We start from the raw sequence: 18,910 nt of genomic DNA, 5'->3' as shown, positions 1-18,910 counted from the left end.
CTTCTCTGAGCTCCTGGTCCTCGCTTAGGGACACACAAGACAGAGATGTGTTGAAATAGACTCTGCTTTATTCAGGTAGCAAAAGGTTAGGAATCAAACATGGTTTTTAAAACCTCCTTTCATCTTTGAAAATAGAGGAGAGAACATCCCTGGGCCAGTCACAGTTACTGTATTTGGCTAAGCACACACCTGTATGAGGGACCCGCCCCTCCACACTGTTCTGATAGGTACTTAGCACCCTAGAAACTCATCCTCTGCAGGAGAGAGAAGCAAGGGTCTGGAGCGCGGTCACATACTCTAAGGTATCTTCCAGGACAGGGGGCTGGGCTCCCTCACTCCCACCTGGAGTCGCTATGGCTATTGGGATCAAACTACCAGTTACATACTGGTTACTTGGAATGTCAGACCCGGTGGGTATCAGTCATCAGGGAGAGGGAGGGGAAATGCCAGGACACGTACATACGGATGCTGTCAAGACTACAGGCAAGGAGGAGGGTGGCGACAAGCGCTGGGACTCCAGCCAAAGCGGGAGTGCATGCTTCTTCCCCTCCCAGAGCCCTGTGGTTTTTCTTCTTGTGAGGCATAAACAGGAAGCCTCTCCAACAAGGGGGTCTCCAGCACTAGGGGCTGAAACTCAGCCAGCCTCTCCAAACAAAGCAAAGGGGCCAGCCTGGGCCAGGGCCTCTGATAAGGATGCTCACTGTGTTTCCACGGGGGTCCTGAATGAGGAAGTTCAGGAATAAGATGGCAGTCATCTTCTTCCTTCTTGGCCATTGGCTGACAAAGGGGAACGGAGCAGGCCTGTGCCCCTTGAGAAATCGGGTAGTGCAAATTTTATGACAAACAGCATTCTCAGTGGCCCCGCTGCACAGGGACCCCCCTTTCCCACCACCTAAGGAAGGCACTGGCCGGTGTCCTCGGAGCACGCTGATGCTGACGTGGAGAGGGCGAGTTGCTTCCCCTAGCTTCCACCTCAGCTCCAGAACTACTCCCACAGAGACCCACTCACGGCTGCTCACAGGATGGCCTCCTGCTCTGAGGGATTCTTCAAGGATGAAGAGGCCGCAGGAAGCATGTGTGCTGGAACAGCACCTTGATGTGGAATCCCTGTGGGTAGGGCAGAGGCTATAGCCCCACCTAAAAAAGCCTTTCTCCCTCCCTTTCCACGAGTTCACATCCACAGTGCCTGACCTGGGCAAGTTCCTGAACGCCCATGGAGACGGTGATGGGGAGAAGGAGGCCTGTGTGTGCCTTAGCCACGCAGATAGTAACACCTCCCAGAGCTCCCGCACCACAGGCCTGTGGGGTCCCTCTGACCGCCAGACCCACAGGGCTGGGAGACATTTCCACAGGTCAAAGGCAGAAAGCAAGAAAGGAATTCCTGACTAGAACTGAAAATGACACGAAAGCAACAGTGCTAAGGCTAAGTACTGGGGTGGGGATGAAAGGGCAGGTGGGGTACCAGGGTACCTGCGGTACCAGGGAGGGGCTCGGACGCCAGCATCTACCCTGGGAATGGGAAGGGTACTCAGACAGCAGCTTCTACCCTGGGAATAGGAAGGGTACTCAGGTGCTCAGATGCCAGCATCTACCCTGGGAATGGGAAGGGTACTCAGACAGCAGCTTCTACCCTGGGAATAGGAAGGGTACTCAGGTGCTCAGATGCCAGCATCTACCCTGGGAATGGGAAGCGGCAGACTATGGAGAAAGGGCCCACCCACAGGGGCCTGCAGCACAGCACAGGACCTGCCTGAGCCAGGCAGCAAGCAAGCTGGGATGGATGGCGCCCACTTCCTGCCTGTTTAAAACAAGTATCAGGCAGGGCAGAGAAACCCTGCCTGCTGACTTGCCTCATTTCCTGCCCATGGTTAAGGAAGGCAGAACCTAGACAAAATCATCCTCCTCCTGATAAGCGGCCTCCTGAGCCTGCCAAGACGGAGCTGCCCTTGGAAGGAAAAGTGCTTCACTTTAGGTGGAAGGAAGATCGGGGCGAGGAGGGTGTGAACCTAGCAGTGCCAGAAGCCCCTCTGTGCCTCTAGGGCGGTGGTTCTGTGGTTCTGAAGCTAGAGCAGGCCCAAAGTCCCTGGAGGAGGTTGTTCAAAGCCCTTGTCACTGAGCGCCCATTCGGGGATGTCTCAGTGGGCCCTGGAGATCCTGGTGCAGAGTCCCCAGGGCAGCTCAGAGAAGAGTGGACTAGCCTGTCGTGCAGATGGTGCATTCAGAGAGCAACTCCTACAACAAGGACTTTGGAGACAAATTCCTACCTGTCCCACTAAGGACGAGGATGGGGCAGATGGCAGCTAAGTCCACACTGCAGCCAGAGGTCTTTGAGGGAGCTCGAGGCTCTCATTCACTAATCCTAGGGCAGATGGGGAGTCAGCAGGCACTTGGATCTCTGCTGCCACTTCATGGAGAGGGAAACTGAGGCACAAAGAGGAAGGGATTAATCAGACCACTGCCTGCAGCAGAGCTGGGGCTGCATCCCAAGCCTCCCAACTCCAACTTCGTCCCATCCTCTCCTGGGTAAACCGGGCCGGGCATGCCACGGGTTAAACGCGGCTCGGCTCTCCGGGAAGCACCAGACCCCCTGCCAGAAGAGCCCAGCTCCACCATCTGGAGCTGCAGGAAGAGAACTTTCTTGGGTGCTCTGTGCAAAGGGCTTGTGATTGTTTCGCCCTAAAGGAAGCCCTGGGAAGAGGTAGAGTTCCGCACGAGACCACGGCCTCACTGCTTCTGCTGTGGGAGCCAGGGTAGGAAGTCCCAGAACAATGCCTCTGGGGGCTCTTGCAGCCAGGCCAGCTGTCCCTAGAGCAGGGGCAACCTCCCCCTCTAACAAGGTGGTCTTTCCCATTCCCACTTAGACTGTGGGCAGCCTCCCTGGAACATTCCCCAGGGATGTCCAACAGTCTCCCCTACCAGGACACTCCTCTTGCCACCAAAACTCAGGGGCTGAAACCTTTCATGATGGGGTTATTTTCTGCAGCACCTTAAAAATGAACTTGAGATATAGAACCTTCTGGCACATTTGTGTGCTGTGAGGCATGGCTGTGCTGAGTGGGGCCTCAGGAAACAGGTCATGCACCTCCTGATACCCCTGCTGCTCTGGGATGCCACTGCCCACTTCCTGGTGCTTAGAGACCATCGCCACCAGCAGAAGATCCTAGGGCAGCCTAGAATCTGCAGAGCCTGTCCCAGTGATCACAGAGGCGTCTCCAAGGCAGTCCCAAGGACTCCCTGTCCCTCAGGACATCCCGGGGGCCTCCTGGCTGGTGTGGGGATACAGGAGTCTCTCGGGAGGCTCCATGATGCAGTCCTTCAGAACCTCCGCTGCTTCCCTGGAGGGCAGGATGGGTGGCTTCTGGGTCCTGGGCTCCTCCACATAGAGGGCTCCCATCTCCTCCTTCCTGAGCCTGGCGCCTGTGAGGGAGGAAGGAGAATACAATTAGACTGACTGACAGTGACCGCCTTCCACATCCAGCTTCGCCCAGGGGCTGTTTGGTGAGGAAAGCTTGGCAGAACAGACTGAAGTCAGGACCACGACTGCTCTTTGCAGCCCTCATCTGTTGCTACTCTGTTCATTCTTTTATCCTGAGATAGGGGATCTCAACTGGGGGCGATTTTGTCCCCCAGGGGCCATTTGCCAATGTCTGGAGATGATTTTTGTGGTCACAAATGGGGTGTGTGCTACTGGTATCCAGTGGTTATCTAATAGGTAGAGGCCATGGATGCTGCTCAAGTTCCCACAGTGAACAGGAAGGGCCCCCAACAGAGATTACCCAGCCCCAGCATCAACAATGCCAAGGCTGAGAGCCCTGCCTGGAAGGAGGCAGCGGTGCGTAGTTTGGCAGTGTTTGGACCAATCTGTGCTGGTCCTGTTGTCCCTGTGGAAAGAGTAACTCGCATCAGGGCACACCTGACATCATTTTTTTCTCCTTAGCACCCACAGGGCTGGACACAGAGCAACTCACCCAGCCCTCTCTCGGCTTTCCCTTTCTCTTATCAGTGAGGGGTCTCTTTTCTTATCCCCACCTGCCCTACTGTGGCTTCAGGGCCACCTTGCTTCCTACAGAGCCTCTGTCAGCCATGAGATCCAGTCCCATTTCTGGTGACCACAGACTCAGAGGTGAAAACTGGGAGCAGCAACAGCCGGAAGGAGGCCAGCTAGAGACGCGAGGAGAGAGAGCACTGGGAGCAGCAACAGCCGGAAGGAGGCCAGCTAGAGACGCGAGGAGAGAGAGCACTGCTCCATCCTTGTCAAGTGGTCGCGAGTGGTCTGGAGAACCCCAACAATGGGCATATTTTCTTTGGTTTTCAGTGACTACTTGAAGAGAAAAATTTCCTGTCTGTGGCTTTCAGTAACTTGCCCTCCCTTCTAATACAGCTTCCCCCTCAAGCAAGTTCTTGACCCCAGCCCTCCGGTCCAGAGAGGCTGTTTCTGTTCTCCCCTGCCCCGTGAGATTTCTGCCTGAAAGCCCCACCATCTCCTCCGCATCTCACCTCCTCCACAGCCACATGGACCTCTTCCCTCTTGAAAATTCCTGCACGGTCCAGAGTCTATACAGCCCCACTTAGAATGTGATGGCGCTGCCTGGGGCTGGTCAGCCCTCTCCTTACTCCCAGCAGTGGTCTTGACCTTTAACTAGTACCATTTGCACCACCTGCCAGGCATTGTCCTGAGTGTTTTCCACACACAACTCATTCGGCAGATGAGAAACCAAGGCATCAAAGGACAGACTTGCCCAAGGCCACACAGCCAGTTGGGGGCAGAGCCAGCACAGCACTGTCACCAGGGCAGACAGGCTCTAGAAATGCACGCTCTCTGCACTAAGCCCTGCTGCCTAGAGCACATGTGCGTCATCTCCCTGGCAGGGGTGCAAGCTCCTGGAGGGTGGATGTCACGCATCGAGTACCCACTGGCCTAGCAAATGGGTGGGTGCATGACAGAAGCTCCACAGGCACCTGCAGTCCTGTCTTATTGGCCTCTGGCTCAGCATGAGGCTGCCTTGGGGGAGCTCTGCCACGTGTACTTACTTGCAGGGGAGCGGGCTGGCACCTGGGCACAGGTGTAGACATGGCTGAAACGCCGGCCTGAGGAGGTCAGGTACCAGTGCTGGATGGCGGGCTGGGGGTCGTACTCCGTGACGGCCACGCCGTTCACAGCTGTCATCATGAGCATGTTGAGCACCTCGTTGGAGAGCTTGGTCCTCTCATCGGTCCTGATTCGGTTCATGGCCTTGAACCCCCGCTCACAGCAAGAGGTGGAGATGGGCACACAGACCACCACGGCCATGAGCTTGCTTAGCAGGGGGAAGCGGCAGTGCTGGGCCAGGGCGTTTTTGCAGAGCATGGAGAACGGGAGGTGCTGGGCAATGGTTTTCAGGCCCAGCCACTCCTCCAGCAGAGCTTCCTCACTGTATCCTGTTGGGAGGGAGCACTCGAAATACCTGGCCAGGTTGAGAATGTCATCATTCCCAAAACTGGCAAGTTCAATCCCACTTGGCCAGGCCATGGTGTCAAACACCTCCATGTTCTTCAGCTGTGGGGGTCGGTCTGCGTCAAACCTCTGCTGGAGGTACTCAATCCCCGTCAGGACTGTCCTCTCCCTATCCGCCTGGAACCGCTGTTCCGCTACCTCCAGTTTGTCCAAGCAGATGCCGTGGAGCCGCCCATCCTTGAAGCTGGCGTTGAATTCTTCCTCTTTGGGCCCTGCCTGGTGACGGAGGCTCTCCAGTGCCACGTAGGCGCGGCCCAGCGTGGCGTTCACCTCTGTAATCAGCACGATCTCCTTCTGGCACACCTCGGACAGAGGCCTGTAGATGCTCAGGAAGTCCAACAGGAAGTGGCAGAACTTGACAAAGTGGAAGCCGCGCATGAGCTTCAGCATCCCTTTGGCCCGGTGCCCAATCTGGCCCCCAGCCTCTGCCACCCTCTGGAGGTGCCTGGCCAGGGCGGGCCAGCTCACGAGCAGCGCGTGCAGCGTGCGCCTCCTGCTGGCCACCCAGCGGACCGCATTCAGATCCTTCAGGCGGATGATCTCCTGCTCCAGAGGCGCCGCACCTTCCTGCAGCTCGTTCAGCCTCTTGTTTGAGGACTGATAAAACTTGAAGACGGTGCGGATGTGCCGGTCACACTTCTTCACCAGATCGATGCTCCCGCAGGCGTCCACCACAGCCAGGTGCAGCCGGTGGGCCACGCAGTGGACAGGCAGCAGCTGCGGGATGACCTCCTGGAACTTTTCCACAAGGCCTCCTCTGCAGCTCAACATGGCTGAGCCATCCGTCCCCAGCCCCACCACCCAGCCAGGCTTCCGGAAGGGGATGTCCAGCTCATCCAGGGCAGAAACGATGGTCTCGAAGTACCCATCTGCTGTCTCACTGTAGAGAGGGGCCAGAGTGATGTAGGACTCTTTCACCTCCATCTGCTTGAAGTAGCGGATGTAAATCCCCACGCAGGCCTGCTCGGAGGCGTCGGTGGAGCTGTCCAGCAGCACGCTCACACAGGGCGAGTTCCGCACGTCCTCCAGGATCTCCCTCTTCAGGGTCTCTGAGATGTACTTGATGAACTGAGTGCACGCCGTGCGATTGCGGTACTTGCCTAATATCACGGTCCCCGTGCTTTGGAGGAGCTGCAGGATCTTCTCAAAGTCATTCAGGGGCCTTGAGTGGTATGCAATGGAGTAGGCGGCATTGAAAAAGTGCTCCATGTTGGCCATGAGGTCGCTGGAGATCTCTGGAACGAGGGCAGTGTGAGGGGTGTCTTCCTTGATTTCAACCGTGTTGACACAGAGCCTGTGCGCTTTGCTGACTTCATGGTATTTTAAAGTCTCCACTTTAAAAGGCCCCGTGTAACCTCTGACTAACCGAGATGATTTATCATGGAGATTAGGTCTTTCTATGCAGGCTGAGCAGAAGAGTTTGGTCTCTTTGGGGTCAATTACTAACCATGGGAACTGCCCAAACCATGACCTCTGAATGGAACGGGGCCTGTATGTCCTCTTGATTCTCCTAGGTCCATCTCCTTCCTCACAAATGCTGGAACTGCAGCAGGAGGCACGGGCCTCCACGGGAGAGCCTGGAAGCAACGCGGAGTCTGCAGCCGAGGCCTGTGTGTCTGCCTCTCTCACTGCCACCATCTTCTTGTTCCCTTTGGAGAAAATTGAATCATGCTTGGTTCTGCTACCCAGAACTCTGCCATCTTCTATCAGCTAAGACACCCCCAAATTTAATAAGTATCCCTTAAGCAAGGCAGAGAAGATGAATGCAATCCTTCTTTCTAGAGAAAGTGGCGTCCACTTAAACCCTCACCCATTCTCATCTGTGAAAGTTCATCTGGCTCCCCCAGAGTTGTTGCTAATCCTTGTGGGTTCTTTCACCAGCGCCCCAACCACCCTATCCACACAGCTACCCTGGGATCATGTGACACCAGATACCAATAAGTTCAATTAACCCCCTTGGCCACAGAGACTGTTGGATAAGCAGGTGGCTTTCACTCTCGTGTGAGGCTCCACAATAGAATAGGTTAAACACCTGCCAAGGCTTTTACAAGCCTCAGAAGGAAGTAGGTACAGAAGTAAGTGTAGCAACTACAAGCCAAGAAATTACTGATTGAGATAGGCAAGACAACGAATTCTCACAAACCAATAGTGCTGTCACCGAGCACTGGAGAAGGAGGGAGAAGGGATGAGAGGCTCACAGATCTCTGGGTCCCCTGGCTCCTCGAGACCAGTGTCCCCACGTACCTGCTCCCACCAGCTCTGCCACAGCCTCCATCAGTACTTCTGCTTACAAAAGGACCTGTTTTTTCCCTGTTTCCCAGACTACTCTACACTCTGTGGGCAGGGTTAGTTGCTTATTCATCTTGTCTACCCAGGGCCTCCTGCCAGGCTTGGTGCCCAATCGGCCCCCATCAGATGAGCACAGCTGAGCTCATGCTGTTTGACTCATCATAGCCGCCTGGGCCCTGGCACATGTCCTTCAGAATGCTGTAGGTTTACACTCACCTGGAGGACGACCTTTCCCCCACTTTGGCCCATTTGGGTCCTTGATCCAGGGTGCAGCCCTCCGCTCCAGTTTGGAGATCAAGTCTGGCTTGGCAGCGGCAGGTCCTGTTGTAAGGATGAAGAATCATGCTGATGTCACTGCTGTGGCCAAATCGAGTAGCCCCCTCAAGCTAGACCCAGTCCCTGAAGTACACAGAGGTGTCTCTGGGTTCTGTCCTTATAAAGTCTAGTCGGCCAGGGGCAGGCTGAGCGCAAACCCAGAGTGCCAAAGAGGCAGTAAGGGGAGGGGCAGCCCTCAGCTAGGATAGGGCTTCCTCAGATCCATGGGCCAGCCATACACACCAGAGGGGGAAGGGTGGAAACAGGAAGAAACATAGGGACTAAGCAGGAGAGAGAGGCAGGGGGAAACAGCAGCCATATGAGAAGTGGAAGGTGCCACCCACAGCTGGCCCACGCGTGTGCCCCTCTGCCCCCACAGCTGGCCCACGCGTGTGCCCCTCTGCCCCCACAGCTGGCCCACGCGTGTGCCCCTCTGCCCCCACAGCTGGCCCACGCGTGTGCCCCTCTGCCCCCACAGCTGGCCCACGCGTGTGCCCCTCTGCCCCCACAGCTGGCCCATGCGTGTGCCCCTCTGCCCCCACAGCTGGCCCATGCGTGTGCCCCTCTGCCCCCACAGCTGGCCTTTGTGAAGGTGACCAACTACATGGGTTTTTGAAAGGGGCACTTGGAGGGCCCCCTGAAATACCTACCACCTGCAATGGAGCCTGAAATCTGACTAAAGGAGATTTGTGTCTTTGGATTAAGCACTAACCTTTACTTAAAATAGGAATATTGTTCAGGGGTATGCAGATAAACCATTTCCTCTATTGAAAATAAAATCCATCACTATCTACATCATGCTTTTGTGTGTGTCTATGTGAATGTGTGCATAAACTTTCTGTGGAGAGCCACACAAGCAACTGGGCCTGTGGGTGCTCCTGGGGAGGAAGTGAAGGACAAAGGAAAAGGGAGATTGGTTTCCACTACTCATCTTTGGATCGCTTGAATATACTTATATATATAATGATACATATATGTGTGTGTCAATATCTACATATTTACTACTAATAAAAATATAAATAAGTAAATTACTAAAGTGTGTTAAATTGAACATATATCCTTCTTAAAATATCTCTAAAATGAGGGCAAAGGAATAAAAATAACAAAATGAGGTATAAGCCCAAGATAAATTGGATTAGGAATGCAAGTCCATTTTTGGAAGGGAAGGAGACAAAAGAAAGAGAAACAAACAGAGCTGAACACCAAATGCCTGCAGAGGGGTTAACAAGGAGAAGCAAGCTGGTTGGTACCAGAGAATCCCAGAAAGATTCAGAAACTGCAGGCAACAGGTATGGGAGAACGTGGTGGATGGGGAATGGGTGGGAGCAGTGGACTGGCTCAAATCTGACAGAGATCTGATCAATCCCAGGTCCTCTCACCTATTCCGGGAAACCAGGAAACACCACCACCACACCCCAGAGGAGAACAGAGGTTTGGCCTACAGAAAAACTTATCCAGAAAGGCTCCAGACCCCATATACCACGTACACAGAAAGGTGAAGGGGTGGTGCGGTACTGAAAGCAGGGAGATCGAGTCATGTCTATGGACCAAGGGGTGCACTGCTCGACTCCAAGAATGTTGGCTGGGCTTATCATACCCTCCAAACAGGAGACGGGAAGCGTTTTCTTTGGAAAAATGGAATTGCCCTTCCCTCTCCCCTCAAAAGATCTATGGACACTGACTTTTGTGGGTTCTTCAGTAAGAAGAACTGGTCATCCTACAGTGAAAAGTGAAACCTACTCTTGATGCTTCCCAGCCATGCACAGGTCTGCAGCCATGCACAGGGCTTCCAGTCCGTTTCTAAGGCTTACTCGTACACAGGAATGAACCGAGAGATAATTATTTAAGAAAAGCCTCTAACATGAAAGAGAGAAACCAAAACAAGTAGGAAAAGATTTGGAAAAACTTGAAATACAGCAGGAAGCAAAACAAAACTTCAAAATAATGAGAATTAATATTCCTAGAAAGAAAACTCATGATAGCCATTCATGAAAGAGGAAATAACAGTGTTTAGCAACTAAAAAACCCAATAGAATAAAAAAAATAGCATTGTTAGAAAATAAAATGGAGGAAATGTCCAAGAAAGTAGTATAAAAAAGATAAAAGCAGAAAATAGGAGAAAAAGACACAAACAGAAAACCAGAGACTCAATCCAGGAAGTCCAATATCAAACTAATAGGAAGGAATTTCTGGAAGAAAGAAAAGAGAAAATAGGAAGAAATCATACAAGAAAATTTTCCCAAACAGGGAAAGACCAGTTTCCACATGGAAGGGAAACACCAGATACCCAAAAAAAAAGATTAAAAACACACTTTATATAAAACATCAAGGCATATCATTAAAAATTTGAGAAAATTGAAATCAATTTCAAAAGCTTTCAGAGTAGAACAAATATGTCATGTTCAAAGATTCTGGAATAAGAAGGCACTAGACCTCTCAATAGCACCAGTAAAACCTAAAAGGGCAATGCTTTCAAAATGCTGAGGAAAAGTATTTCCAACCTAGAATCCTATATGCCCAAACAAGTTATCACTGAATCATGAGGGAAGAATATGATGTTTTTAGACAGGATGCGTCACAGAAAGAAGGCCTCCCCTGCACCCTTCCTTAGGAAGCCACTGGAGGATGTACACTAAGAAGATGAAGACGTCAACCACAAAAGAAGAGACAGACTCGGGAAATGGGGGAGAGACAAAGGCACATCTCAGACCACAGGTGTGCCGCAGGCCTAACAGCTGCCTGGGTCAGACAGAGCAGGGGAGGAGAAGGCCCCGGAGCGAAGTCTCCAGAGAAAGAATGAAATGGAGAGATCACAGGATGTCCCGTCACGTGGAAAAGACTCTTCGGAGGAGTTTTATAATTCCACTGGACAGTCTGGGAAGAACTGATGAGGGTAAAGAAAGTGAGAAAAATGAAAAAGAAGAAAAAATTTTCCAATTCGAGGGGGAAGAGTCCGACAATGAAGGCAACACCATCACAATACACCACCTTGTTCAGCAGTAAATCACACATAATCATAACTGGGCAAATAATTTATACCAATGTAACCAACAAAGTGTGATGTACCTGTTCTGAGAGGATGGAGGGAAGAGAAGCGGGGGCCCAGGTGATGTAACAGGGCCGTATCTCCATCTTCCACAGTAGGAATCAATAGAGAATATCTAAAATCAATAAATCAGGAATACAATAAACATAAGCCACAGGATATGAAAGTGTGATTCCGGCTGCCTGCTCCGGCTGAAAGCCCCCAGAGCAGGAGCCAGCTCTTCCTCATTCCAAAGCCAGACACGGACACATGACCTGGAAAGAGAATGGCTGAGGGCCAGGGGCTGTGGCTCCAGCCTGCGCCCATCGAGAGGAGTCACAGAGCTGAGACTGAAGGAGCCAGGAAGTTGGGCACCAGGGATGTTTCTGGAAAGCATTGTCAAGGATATTGTGAGCCTCTCTGACTGTGGGGAGTGGTGGGTGCGCCCTTTCCCTTAACCTGACCTGTATCTCTGGGAGCCGTGAATGGCCACGAGTCCAGCCTTGGATAAGACTAAGGTAGCCATGGGGTGCCTTGGAGGTGGCCATGTCGAGAAAGGCCTACAATCCCAGGTCTGGGAGAGCACAGGGTCTGGAAGTGCTTCTATGGTTCAGATGTGGGCCACATGGGGAATGAGAAGAGGCCTGGCGTTGTCTGTGGGGCCTGCCCGTGACGGTTGGCTACCAGTGTGATACTCCCCTGTGAAGGCGCCTATATAGACAGGCTGCCAGGGCAGACATTCACCCATGTCCAGGCAACTGCAAGCGAGAGGGTCTCAGTGCCTGTTGGGGGTACTGCAGAACCCACAAACACCCAAAGAAGAGAACCAGCTTTAAAGGACTACAGCTCTAAGTAGCTGGTGTCAGATTACATGTCAAATGAAACCTTTCTTATACCTCTCCCACCCACCAACGCCATTCCCACTGAGGATGAGTCAGAAATTCTGAAACCAGCAGGGGGTGGGAGAAGAGGAGCCCCTTTCTTCCTATGGCATGGGTCCAGATTCTACAGCCGCAGCAGGTTGAGGAGGGAAAGGCAAGAATTGAGTGTTAAATGAAGTCCAGATTTTCTACTACTACACAGAGACGGGGCTTTTGTTTCCTACATTTTCCTTTTGGTAAATCTCTGATATAATTTCAAATTTACAGAAAAGATTGAATAACACAAGGAACTCCAATCATTGACATTCTGCCCCATGTGTTCCAGCATGCTTGTGAGCTCACAGGCACGCTCTCCTGCTGGGTCTATACGTATAGCTACAATATTTTTCTGAACCATTTGAGAGTAAATTGTTTGCATGTCCCTTTATTCCTAAATACTTCATGTGTATTACCCAACAAAAAAGGACCCTTTCATAGGTAGTAGGTGGGATTCGAACATGGGCTCCAGGGCCCTCACCCTGGCCTAACCTTTACCCCTTGAGGTTAGGGGACTCTGAACAGGATGAGAGGTCACACTGTCATCACGTTACCTTGCACAGCAAAGGGAGATTAGCCAGTGGAGCCGACCTAATTACACAGCTCTTTAAAAGCTGGTGCTGTTCTCAGCTGGCAGCAGCCCAGGAAGTCAGAGCTTCAGGGCACGTGACGATTCCAAACACTGCTGCCGGCCTGAGCACGGAGGGGGCCACAGGGAAGCACCTGAGAGCAGCTCCTGGGCTGAAAGTGCTCCCCGCTGGCAGGCAGCAGGAGAACCGCAAGGAGCTAGATTCTGGCAACAGCATAAGTGAGCTCAGAGCCTCCAGACAGGAGCCTGCCTGGCCGGCCCCTTGGTTTGGGCTAAGACTCTAAGCAGAGAACCTGATCAGGCCCACCTGGACTCCCCACCTGCAGAGTTGTGAGATAATACATGAGTCTGCAGTCCTTTGAAATGGGGCAGCAGAAAGCAAAGTTATAATATAACCAGAGTTATAATGATCAAAACCAGGAAACTCAACCCTGATATCATACTATTATCTAATCTAAGTTCATACTAAATTTCTTCACTTGTCCCCAAAATGTCTCTATAGCCCAGCATCTGTCCTAGCATCATGCACTCAAGTTGTCACACCTCTTCAGTCTCCTTTAATTGAGGTAGTTTGCCAGCCTTTCTCTGTCTTTTTTTTGATCGGGACACTTTTGAAGAGTTTTGTACCAGGCATTGCACTCACTGAAATTAGAACAGGAAGATTTCATGTTATTTGAGTGTGATAAGAAAAAGTTCCAGGCCCTGCCTAGATTTAACCCAGAGGGTGAGAAAGAAAAGGCCCCCAGAGCTGACACGCTCAGCGGTGAACGGGAGGATGCAATTGTTTTATAAGCGCGTCCTGCTGGAGTCCGTCCCTCCTAAGATAATGTCCACATACGTTATTTAGAAATAATGCGGCAAATTACTGGAAGAAACAGCTACAAGATTCTGGGGAACAGGACTTTGTAAAAGAGAAAGGTGGGACAGGGGACTGTCATTTTTCTTTTTTTTTTTTTTTTGAGATGGAGTCTGGCTCTGTCGCCCAGGCTGGAGTACAGTGGCACGATCTTGGCTCACTGCAACCTCCACCTCCCAGGTTCAAGCGATTCTCCTGCCTCAGCCTCCCGAGTAGCTGGAACTAAGGGTGTGTGCCACTACGCTCGGCTAATTTTTGTATTTTTAGTAGAGATGGGGTCTCGCCATGTTGGCCAGGCTGGTCTCGAACTCCCGACCTCAGGTGATCCACCTGCCTCAGTCTCCCAAAGTGCTGGGATTACAGGCGTGAGCCACCGCACCCGGCAGAAATATTTTTAAAGAATAATTGAAAACAAACAGGGACCAAATGTTCCCAAATCTGTTTGCCTCCATTTATATTCCTTTTGGGTACTGTCCACCTTTGACTGCCGCTGGCGCCACTACCCTGGCCCCAGGAATACCGTACCCTGATGGTACCTCTCTGAAGCTGCAGCCTACATCTTATCAAAACCTCTTCTTTTTGTTCCCTTCCAAACAAATGAAATGGAGGGGAATTTTCAGCGTTTTCTATGACTTAGTAATGGAAAAAGAAGGAGGGCACATAACTGTGGCGAGTGCGTGCACACACCCACAAACACCCACATTCCATAACAGTCCATAACAATGGTTTGGCCTACAAAGGACTCCTCATCCTTCCAGGCTAACTTCACCAAGGGCCAGCAGGCCCTATCCCATGAATCCATTCTGCAAAAGCCACTCTAGCCAGGTGCAGTGCGTGTGCCTGTAATCCCAGATACTCCGGAGATGGAGGCAGGAGGATCGCCTGGGCCCGGGAGTTTCAGTCCTGACTGGGCAATATAGAGAGACCCCATCTCAAACAAACAAATAAATAGATGCCACTCTAGCCCCTCACCTTGGTTCTTCTTTCTCTAGCTCCGGCTGCCCCCACTTGGAGGCCATCATCACATGTCCTGCCGTGGAGAAGCTGGGGGACTCGAACTCCCCTGCTCATCTTCTTTAGGGCCCTCCCACTCAGTGTTGTTTTCCATGAGTGACACAACGCCTTCCCCCAGCTCTGTAAGGCCTGGCTGTAGTTACCGACTTCTCCTGTGGACAAGAAACTGCCCGCCTGCAGTGAGTGGCCACTCAGCATACGATGACACCTTTACAAATAAAAGCAAGGGCTACCCACATAGTCCCTATGTTGGCCTGTCTATTTCCATTAATGACAAATATTAGTTTCTTAACAGTGGGATGTAATTGAGATTTCTGGCTGCTTTTTGGGAAGAAGCAACAGACTTCATCAGATATGGCAAGCCAGGTGCAGTGGCTCACGCCGTAATCCAACACTTTGGGGGCTAAGTCAGCAGGATCACTTGAGTCCAGCAGTTTGAGACCAGCCTGGGCAGCAAAGTGAGACTCCATCTCTACAAAAAAATTTAAACATTAGCCAGGTGTTGTGGCATGCGCCTGTAGTCCCAGCTACTTGGGAGGCTAAGGCAGGAGGATTGCTTGAGCCCAGGAGTTCAAGGTTACAGTGAGCTATGATGGCACCACTGCACTCCAGCCTGGGTGACAGAGTGACAGCCTGTCTCTCTCTCTCTCTCTCACACACACACACACACACACACACACACACACACAAAACTGAGTTCACCCCAAGAAGTTGTTTTGTGTATTAAAAGATAATGCAAAATAATATTTGGTTTTCAACTCTTAGAGCATTTGTTATGGAGGGTAAAGTGTGGGAAATAAAAAAAAAAACAAGCCAAAGTAAAAATAATAATAACAATTAAAGAATCTCCACTATGTTTTAACACTACTTTATATCCCAATTTAATACTATTATATACCACTTTTAAACATACAAATAGCTTATGCCAGGCCCTGCCCATAGTCCCCAGGCTCCTTAAGATGCTTCTATATCTCAAACATGAAGAACTGTTTAAATTCGGGGATAGTTCAAGGATAACCAGAGATCCAATTAAAGTAACTGAAAGGAATCACACACATGCAACTCCGTTTCTAGACTCCCATACCTGTCTCAATTTCACAGACAACCGGAGAGGCCAGGCCCACCCCCTAGAAAGCCTTTCTGATTCCTGCCTCTGACCCTCGAGGAAAATGAGTTCCCTTCCCTCTGATTACATTTTTTGTTCATCCAAATAAAATTTAAAGACCTTAGTTAGCTGAGATTTCCCTACTGCCTAATTTACGTAAATGAAAAAGAAACTGATAAAATGTTTAGATCATGCTCTGTCAACACACAAAACGTGAGGAAACAGGCACAGGCTAAACAATCCTGGCCAGCCCTCCCTGCACTGCTGCAGAAGCTGCCCTGGGCCAGCAACACCATCGCCTGGTACCTTCACAATCGCCCGGGGGCCTCACAGTGAAACTGAGTCGCTAGTGCCGATTACATTAAAGGAAAACCCAACTTTTTGCAGAGGGTATGCATTTTTAAGACAGGTGTGAATTTCGCCCTCACTCTCACTGCTCTTCAGCACAGCACGGGCAGTGATACTCTGAGGGGATACACCTAACCTAGGGCATGACAACAAAACCTCTGTCACCACAAAATAAATAATTTTAGTCACTTCTGAATGTTTGGGAAGCCATTTAAAAATTACGAACAATGACAAAAACATGTTGGCCAGGTGTGCTGGCTCATACCTGTAATCCTAGCACTTTGAGAGGCCAAGGCAGGTGGATCACCTGAGGTCAGGAGTTCGACACCAGCCTGGCCAACATGGTGAAACCCCGTCTCTACTCAAAAAACAAAAATTAGCCTGGGAGGCAGAGGTTGCAGTGAACCAAGATCACGCCACTGCACTCCAGCTTGGGCGACAGAGTGAGACTGTCTCCAACAAAAAAAGTTGTCTTTCCATCTTGATGCTTCATAAGAACCTTGCTAATCTGCCAGAAAGAGGCAAAGAGAAGATAAAACAGCAGATGCAGGAGAGGAGAGCACCATCCTGAGGAGCAAGAAGCACTGCCCTCTTCCTAATCTGCCAAGGTCCAAACCCCATGACTCCCGTGCTGAAGGCTGCCAACCCTTGCCGGCGCCTGGCCAGGATGCAGGAGCCTTAGCCCTGGGCTGCACAGATAGGGGTGGCTCTGCCAGGCCGTCCCCTCCATCATGGCTCAATGCCCTTCCTCCTTCTGATCCACCTGGTTTTGAACTCAATTAAAACATTTCCTACTCTATAAAGGCTTCCTGATTCCTCCCACCAATGCCCAGGAAATCAAATCCCTCTTCTTCAGTAGCCCCGGGTACTCTTCTGGAAGCTCTTTTATGGGAGACTGTATTATTTTATAGTTTCTTATTAAAATGTCTGTCTCTCCCACAAACGTGCTAGGCCCTTGAAAGCAGAGACCATGGATCAGCTGTGTTCATCTGGCACATAGTAGGTACTCCAAAATGTTTGGTGGGGGACGAATGGATGAACAGGTGGGTGGATGAGAAGGTGATAAAGCACAGTTACCCCAAGCAGGGGAGTTATGAGGTGCAAAAGACAGGATCGGTCTCTGCCTACACACAGGGAGGGGGCAGGAATGGGAAGATAACCACAAGCCACAGCTCCCCTTGTGGGCTTCCCAAGTCAAAGGAGGGTGGTGAATAAGAGGCTCGGTGCGTCTTTACCCAAGGATGCCAACAGCTCGTAGTTCATCCGCATCACGTCTCTGTACAGCTCCTTCTGCCGCTTGTCTAGCATGCCCCACTCCTCCCGGGTGAAATACACTGCCACATCCTCGAACACCACCGGCAGCTCCTCAAACACCACAGGAACCTCCTCCGACAGCCCCTCTGCAGAAGGGTCCTGGAACAAAGAGCAGCGGCCACTCAGCACCGCCTGCCGAGCCAGACTCCCACGTGACACTTCTGGGGCCTTTGGAAGCCCTATTTCTCCTGGGAAGCTCACCAAGAGGCCCAGATGCACTCAGAGGAATTAATTTATCCACTGAAAGTCAAAGAATCAAATTCAGGAGGCCAGAATTAGTAGGTAAAAGCCAAGTGAGACTTGGTCAGATCCTAGGATCTCCTGGGCGGAAATGAAAGCGTGTGGAAAGAACAGGCAGCTGGGCAGAGCCTCTCACTGCATGCTGTCCTCAGAGTCCTGAGAGCTGCCTCCTGGTCACCTACAACTAAAAGGTGACTGTGTGCCTCTAGGAGCACCTAAGATTTCCCAATGGGATGGGAACAAAGAGGTGGTCAAAAAAGCTAAAGATGCTTATGACCAGTGACTGGTTTACACACGCCTCACTGCTGAATTCAGATGATAAAAGGTTACATCGGTTCATTAGCTTCTAATACTAAAAAATATCAGGAACAGGAAAAGAAATGAGCTATGCTGTTTTTCTGGATTTTGGAAAAATGAGAGTTTACGAAGTTGAACTGGATTCCTTATGATGTCAGCTCTAGGAGGAACCTCCGAGCTATTCTCACCAGACTCCTGGAGGGGAGTTAAAAATGATTTGTTGTAAAATTCTACTTCTATGCAATAGGTGAGAAATGGGGAAGCTTCCAATGAACGTAGTTTCCTTACAGGACAACTTTCCAAAGCATTCGGTAACTACAAAGGAAACCTAAGGTGGGCGCTAGAGTACTTTAGTGCCCAGCAGTGCTGCGGGGAGTGGAAGGAAAGCATGGGCTGGCAGCTCAGGACTCTGGGCAGATTCTGGCACTGACTACAAGAGCTCTAGGACCCTGGACATGTCACTTCCTCCAAAGTCTGTGTTCTTCCAACAAGATGAGTTTAATAGCACCTGCTCTACCGGCCTCACAGCAACATCAGAAACATTACATCAAACAACATGTGTGAAAAAACTGCAATGTTTACAAGTGCAACATGACTCCAAACTTAAAATTTAAAAAATACTAGCCAGGAGTGGTAGATCATACCTGTAATCCTAGCATTTTGGGAGGATGAGGTAGGAGGACTGGTTGAGTCCAGGAGTTCAAGACCAGCCTGGGCAATATAGTGAGATTCCCATCTCTACGAAAAATAAAAAATTATCCAGGTGTGGGGGCACACACCTGTGGTCCCAGCTACTTGGGAGGCTGAGTGGGAAGGATTGCTTGAGCCTTGGAGGTAAAGGCTGCAGTGAGCTATGATCACACCACAGTCCAGCCTGGGTGACAGGGCCATACCCTGTCTCTTAAACAAAACAAATTTAAATATTGACTACTTAAGAGCTCTGTGATTTTGTGGTTGTAGGCTATTTCTTGAGATCTGTGTTTATTTTGGATTCTGAATAAAGATGATTGTTTCCTTTATACCAGAAGTAGAAATGTTCTATCTCACTAATTACGTTATTTGCAAAAAGGAGATGATAATAGGGTTGTTGTCCAAATTAAATGAGAT

At 50.8% G+C, this 18,910-nt stretch overlaps 1 protein-coding gene across 8 annotated transcripts in view, besides 2 other annotated features; it reads right to left on the bottom strand.

The window, feature by feature from the left end:
* ZNF862 (zinc finger protein 862) overlaps positions 47-18,910 on the bottom strand; it is a 29,105-nt gene continuing 10,241 nt past the window's right edge. For 6 of the 8 annotated variants that reach the window (XM_011516464.2, XM_017012519.2, NM_001099220.3 and 3 more), the window contains 4 exons: positions 17,188-17,365; positions 8,000-8,104; positions 5,032-7,143; positions 47-3,417 (listed from right to left, as the gene is read on the bottom strand). In XM_011516464.2, the coding sequence (XP_011514766.1) occupies positions 3,242-3,417; positions 5,032-7,143; positions 8,000-8,104; positions 17,188-17,365 (2,571 nt within the window). In that variant the 3' untranslated portion in view covers positions 47-3,241. Of the gene's footprint in view, positions 3,418-5,031; positions 7,144-7,999; positions 8,105-11,164; positions 11,260-14,457; positions 14,601-17,187; positions 17,366-18,910 lie in introns of those variants that run through there. The other 2 variants (XM_011516465.3, XM_011516466.3) reach the window with 2 other exon arrangements.
* Positions 11,105-11,656: an enhancer, noted in NCBI's record as "H3K27ac-H3K4me1 hESC enhancer chr7:149552959-149553510 (GRCh37/hg19 assembly coordinates)". NCBI's record gives its function as "activates a minimal SCP1, AML or CMV promoter by ChIP-STARR-seq in primed H9 embryonic stem cells {active_cell/tissue: H9 hESC(primed)}" and the evidence as "EXISTENCE:reporter gene assay evidence [ECO:0000049][PMID:30033119]".
* Positions 11,657-12,210: an enhancer, noted in NCBI's record as "H3K27ac-H3K4me1 hESC enhancer chr7:149552405-149552958 (GRCh37/hg19 assembly coordinates)". NCBI's record gives its function as "activates a minimal SCP1, AML or CMV promoter by ChIP-STARR-seq in primed H9 embryonic stem cells {active_cell/tissue: H9 hESC(primed)}" and the evidence as "EXISTENCE:reporter gene assay evidence [ECO:0000049][PMID:30033119]".

The sequence above is a fragment of the Homo sapiens genome, chromosome 7, assembly GCF_000001405.40.
Source record: "Homo sapiens chromosome 7, GRCh38.p14 Primary Assembly".
Lineage (NCBI taxonomy): Eukaryota > Metazoa > Chordata > Mammalia > Primates > Hominidae > Homo > Homo sapiens.
This window is presented reverse-complemented; position numbering and strand designations above follow the sequence as displayed.